Source organism: Homo sapiens, chromosome X, assembly GCF_000001405.40.
Source record: "Homo sapiens chromosome X, GRCh38.p14 Primary Assembly".
NCBI lineage: Eukaryota > Metazoa > Chordata > Mammalia > Primates > Hominidae > Homo > Homo sapiens.
In genome coordinates, this window is record NC_000023.11 from 120,142,522 (window position 1) to 120,148,521 (window position 6,000).

Below are 6,000 nucleotides of genomic sequence, written 5' to 3' on the forward strand. Positions count from 1 at the left end.
TTTTTTTTTTTTTTTTTTTTTTACCAGTATTATCCCCTCTTTCATTTCTTATTTTAGTTTTTGATATTCCCTCTTTTGTTAGTCTGGCTAAAAGTTTGTCAACTTTGTTGATCTTTCAGAGAACCACATTTTGGATCTGCTGATAGTTTATATTGCTTTCCTATTCTCTATTTTGTTTGTCTCCATTCTTTATTATTTCCTTCCTTCTGCTAGCTTTGGTCTAGTTTCCTCTCCTTTGCTAGTTTCTAAATGTGTAAGTTCGATTATTGATTTTGCACATTTCTTCTTTTTTAATGTAGGTGTTTTTAGGTATAGATTTTCCTCTGAGCATTGTTTTTGCTGCATTTCATAGGTTTTGGGAGTTTGTGTCTTCATTTTAATGCATCTCTAAGTATTTTCTAGTTTCCCTGGTGATATCTTCTTCAATCCATTTGTTGTTTAACAGCATATTATTTATTTCCGCATATTTGTGAATTTCCCAGTTTCCCTTCTGCTATTGGTTTCTAATTTCATTTCATGATTGTGAAAAGTAAAGTAGAGGTTCCTCTTCAAAGACTTTCCTCCCCATCTAATTAGGAAGAAATAGTAACTTCTCTTAGAAGCAAAATTTATTCAAAGACCTGGGCTAACATTCTTAAATATCTGTGAGCTGTAATAAAGAAATCAATGTACTTTATGTTCTTAGCTTCCACAATTTAGCCTAAATATTTGCCCTGGCATGCTTATACTGGTCCAAGCAAGCATTAGGATAGCCTGTTCCTTTTCCTTATTTGAAGGTGTTTTTACCTTTCTCAGCATTCCATAAATTACTTCCTCCTTCCTTTGTTCTCCTCTGCCTTTGCCTCTTTTAAAAAGTTCTAAGTTGCTAGCCAATCAGGACTAATACAGAATGTGAGGTTCCATTCCAGCCAATGGAGACTGGACATAGCAGTAGGGTGGACATGTCAGGTTATAAATGACCCTGTCTCCCTTGTTCAGTGTACTCTCATGGCAGAACAGCTGGCGAGTGTACCCTTTCTGCAGAAAGTAAAAATGCCCTTGCTGAGGAAATTAAATTTATGTTCAAGTAAATTTCTTTATGGCACTGGGAAACAAGCATTTCTAACAATTTTGGTGGAAATCCGTACATGGATACGTTCTCTTCTGGGGGCGGTCTCCAGTCCTTTCTCATGAGGGAGCACACTCCTCTGCCTCATTGCAGTGGCCTCAGGGATATGGAATTAAGATCCACCTGGTGTGATGAATAAACCCAGACTCTCAGCAACGCAGGAAAAAAAAAACAAAAACTGGCTGGCGATCTGGAGTAAAGGATCCTCACATCCACGTGAACCAGGAAACTCTGTGCCCAAATCGACGAAAAAAAAACACTGGGAGAGCCGGTAAAGTATTTCCTTGGGGTGGTTAAAAAGAGGTGAGAAATCCCCATTGGGGGGGTTAAACCTTAAAAAGAGGTAAGAAATCCCCATTGTAGGGGTTGAACCTCAAAAAGAGGTGAGAAATCCCCATTGGGGGATTGAACCTCAAAGAGGTGAGAAATCCCCATTGTGGGGGTTGAATCTCACACAAACCTCCGGTAGTAAATATATATTCAAAACTCCCCTTTCCTCTCTTCTCAGGAAAAGAAAAAGGCTAAGCTCCACTCCCACCAGTTGCTCCCCTAGGGGAAGGGGAAGGAGAGGGGGGAAAACAGCAGCATAGGTGGCTGGCAGAGGCGAAGTCCAGCAGGGAGGAAAAAGAAACCAGGAAAGGAAGTCAGAGAGAAAGAGCAAAAACAGCAAGCGTGACACCAGACAGGCGCACCAAGGGTTAAGTCCCTCTCCCCAGCCCAGCTCTATGTGAAAAAGAGGGTGGGGAACGGCGCCAGGAGGAGAGCAGAGGAGGTGAAAGGGCATAATTATTGCAACTTGCAGCAGGCATCTGCCAAGCCTCTGGGCCAGTGATGGCCCGGGGTCTGGACTGCAGCCCCACAAATCCCACCCAGCCCAAGAAACTGAGTGTAAGAAGAAAGGAAAAAAGTAAAAAGGGAAATTGGGAAAAGAAAAAAAAAGCAGATGAAACAGACGGCAGTGTGTGTGTGGGGGCGGGACCCATGCCATTGCCCGGCCTTGCCGGCCGGCAGGAGCAGGAGAACTTGGGAGGGAAAAAGGAACAAGGGATGACGGAGAGAGAGAGAAAAAAAGAGAGTGCAAATGAGAGAGAGAAATAGAGGGAAAGAATAAGTAAGAGACAGAAATCAAAGAAAGACAGAGGGTGAAACTAGGAAAAGAAATAGTGTAAAAGGAAGGCAGAAAGTTAAGACATGTTGAAGATTGTCTGTGAAAGTCGTAAGAAAGGTTATAAAGGGAATTTATGCAAGAAATATTGTATAATTTAAAAGTAATTAGGCCTCCTGAATGTAAAACTATTAAAAAAACAGTTTATGTACAAAGTATGTAAGAAAAATAAAATATACTTTTAATAAAAGGATTATAAGGAGGCATAAGAATATGGATTTTTACCTACATTAAAAGGTTTAAAAATTTTTGTTTTAAAGGTTTAAGCAAGTTTTAACATGTTAATTGTAAAGGAAATTCTGTGTGTAAACATTTTGGCTAAAGGTAAAGGGTTTATCATCCAGTTTTGCTGTGAACTGAACATTAAAATAAAACCACAATAGTTTATTCTTAAAGCACTAACCTGCTCTTTAACAAAAAATTTAACATGTTAAAAAGAGTCTATAAAAATCTTACCTTATAGTCAGACATTAAAATTGGATAATATCTACAAGATTTTATTAAAATTAAGTTTAACATTAATAGCACATTAATATAAAGGTAAAATTTAACTTACCTGGTACAAAATCATACAAAAAGCATTGTCAAATATAAAATGGTGTTTAGCTTTCTTAAGGTCCGAGGGCAGCTGGGTAAGTCACAAGCTCCTCATCCCCAAGGCCACAATGTGCAGGGGAGATGAAGGCCACTAGAAGGCCAAGACCTTAAGAGGGGGCAGGGCTGCAGCATCCTGTGAGTGGTGCTGAGCAGGAATGGAGTGGGAGGCATCACCATGGGACCTCAAGCCCCAGAATATGCAGCAAAAATTATATACTTTTTATCTTCCACTTTCCCTTCCCTCAGAACTAAAAGTCTTTTAGCACGGGTACCAGCCCTAGAATTTCCAGTACACCAGCAGCAGCCTGGAAACCACATCCTCATCAAAAGACAGAAAGAAAAAAACTCGAGCCAGCCTGAGAAGGACCCTATTTTATGCTGTTAACCACTGAGACTGCCATCCTCACAGCTGAGAAAGGATGGACCCACCATACTCAAGTCAAGAAAACATCTTCCTCGTCAGAATCATGGGTTACTGTACTAGGATTAAGCCTTACTAAGTTAAAGTTAAAGAAAGCTTAATTTTCATATACCTTCTATATTGCTTCTTTTCCTTTCCTTATTCTGTTACTAGCTCCTTTGTTATTAATGTAACTAAGTCTGAGTCACCTCAGACCATTGCCTTTTATGCTTGCTCTGTCATACCTTGTGGAAATGTAAAAGATCAATGACAGCTAGCCTTTTCACACAATTATTTATGCCTCGGCCCTCTAATTGACACAGTTACCCCTAGCACTCATCGTTGTGATCACCTGCAGCCAAGACGCTGATTTTCTGCTCCTATAGCCTGGCAACCTTGTGGTACATGGGACTACGTCCTTTAAACTACCCAGGAGCAAAGTTGGACTTCCATGAAAAAGGTTTGTGCAGATCTAAAACCTCTCATCTATTTCACTAAAAGGACTTCCCCTTCTAACTGTCACCCTTACCAATGTAACCCTGTCCTCTCTATCACCACCTCCACCTGTCTTTAACTAACTCTAGACCTGTCCTTAATTGCTTTTATGGTATTGGAATAGGAATTAAAAGAAATTAAAGAATGTGTAAGGAGAAACTCAGTTGTATGTAAGAAAACCCAATTCCCCCTGAGAAAGAGAAAGAGTTGGAGTCCTTTAAAAATTAACTGCCTGTTTTTCTGTGGCTAGTGAGCCTTATCTCTCCTCCTTTCCCAGACATTGTGAAGACCCTGTTTCTCTAGCTGTGCAGCTGCAAGGTCACTAGACAGATAAACTCAAGTTGTAAAACATGTTTTTCCTTGAAAAGTAAGAAATGCTGTAATGCATTTCTCAATTAATTAAATAACTGTCTTTGTTTCTCGCTTCTGTAATATGCTTCCCCCTGCACAGATCTCCACCCACCCTACAAAATGCTTAAAAGGTAACTTAACTCTTTGTTCTGGGCTCAGTCCTTTGGGCTGAGTACTGGGCCGGTGCACCTAAATAATAAATATCTTCCTGAACCCCATTTGTCTCTCTGATTCCTTAAAAAATCCCGCAACATTTCTGGGGACTCGCCTGGGATTGGAGACGACAGATTTACTGTCTCCTTTGCCTGTGGGGACTAGAGCCCAAGGACCGGGGGAGACCCGGCATCCAAGGTGTATCACAGGGGAGCTTCACCCAGACAGAGATAGGCTCTCCCCGCATCCCAGTGGCCTGCCCAGCAGTGCAATGGAACCGGGGATGGGGCTGCAGGAAGATACCAGCACTTCAGGAACCGCTGTAAGGAGCAAGGGCCCAAGGCATGAAAGCCCATCCCATAAGGATGAAGGGGAGCTTGGTCACCTCCCAGGGACCAACCAGTAATCCAACCTAGAGTGGCTGGGGGCGGCAGGAGTGGCTTGCCAATTTGGATGAACCTCGTGTCCCCACTAACAGTGGAACTGGGAAAAGGGAGAAAATGGGCCGATAGAGTGGCAAGTGCAGCAAGGTACAGCTTGCTGGCAGGGTGGCAAGAGTGGCTTGCCATCCCAACTGGGAGTGTGTGGGTGCATGTGAACCTACCTGGGACATGAGAGAGGCTCATTTTGTCCGATGAGGAGTCCTGGGGTAGGAGTGGTCTGTGTATGTGTGTGAATGTGGGAGCCTAACTAGGCTCACCTGGGACACGAGAGAGGCTTGTTTCATCCGATGAGGAGTCCTGGTGCAGGGGAGGTGTGTGAAAGTGTGAGAAAGAGACGGTCTCGGGAGAGGCCAATGTGGGGAGTGATGTGGGGAGGCACAGATCCCTCAGCGTGGGCTGTGTGCTCCGAGGCAAGTGTGGGGGAAATCAGACCTAGGACGCTGCATACGGCTGATCGAACCAGCTTCACAGCCACAGCAGGCTGTGACAGGGGAAGGCACATTCCTGGCTAAGCAGTGTCCAAAACTCCCGTAATAGGACCTGGTCTGGTGGACCCAAGGGTGAAAGTGAAAGGGAAAGTGCACCACAAGGGAGGAAATGGGAGGGAAAGCATTGAAATCAACTCCTTTGGAGTGCATGATATAGAATTTTAAAAAAAGATTTAGAGGTGATTATGGGATGAAACTGGATGCTCAAAAGCTAAGGACATAACTGTGAAATAGATTGGCCTGCTTTCAATGTGGGGAGGCCCTCCGAAGGTATAATAGGGAATTAACTGGCCATGTGTTTAAGGTGGTCACTGGAGTTGGAGGACAACCAGGATACCCAGACCAGTTTCCCTATATAGACTCTTGGCTCAATGTGGCACGAAGTCACCTCAAGTAGCTACAGCCCTGCCTAGAGGGATATTGCAAGGCATTAGTGTCTCATGTGGCCCAACCAAAGGAAGCAGAGGAACCTAAAGCCCCTAGCATCTCCCAGGAAAAGGAATCCCTGAAGCCTCAGCTGAAACCAGTTCTTCAGGCCCCACCCAAGGAAAGGGAATGTCCGCCCCCATATGTGCCAGTCTACCCATCTTTGACCAGAATAAGGCAGGAGGCAGAGTCAGGAGTGTCCGGAGAGTTGGGCTCAGAGGAAAGTGAGGCTCAGTCTCCCCCCACAGAGGACCAGAAGCCCCCATTATAAAAAAACAAGGAAGATGGACAGGGTGAGGCAGCTGGGTGCCTCTGCTCAGGCCGACCACAGGCTTTGCAGATGCCACTTTGAGAGACCAGGACACAAGTTTATG

General features: G+C 43.8%; 1 long non-coding RNA gene across 1 annotated transcript in view; it reads left to right on the top strand.

The window, feature by feature from the left end:
• RHOXF1-AS1 (RHOXF1 antisense RNA 1) overlaps positions 1-4,334 on the top strand; it is a 110,620-nt gene extending 106,286 nt beyond the window's left edge. The window contains exons 4-5 of the long non-coding RNA NR_131238.1: positions 1,202-1,379; positions 3,117-4,334. This is a non-coding gene — a long non-coding RNA (RHOXF1 antisense RNA 1). The remainder of the gene's footprint in view (positions 1-1,201; positions 1,380-3,116) is intronic.
• The last annotated feature ends 1,666 nt before the right edge of the window (positions 4,335-6,000 follow it).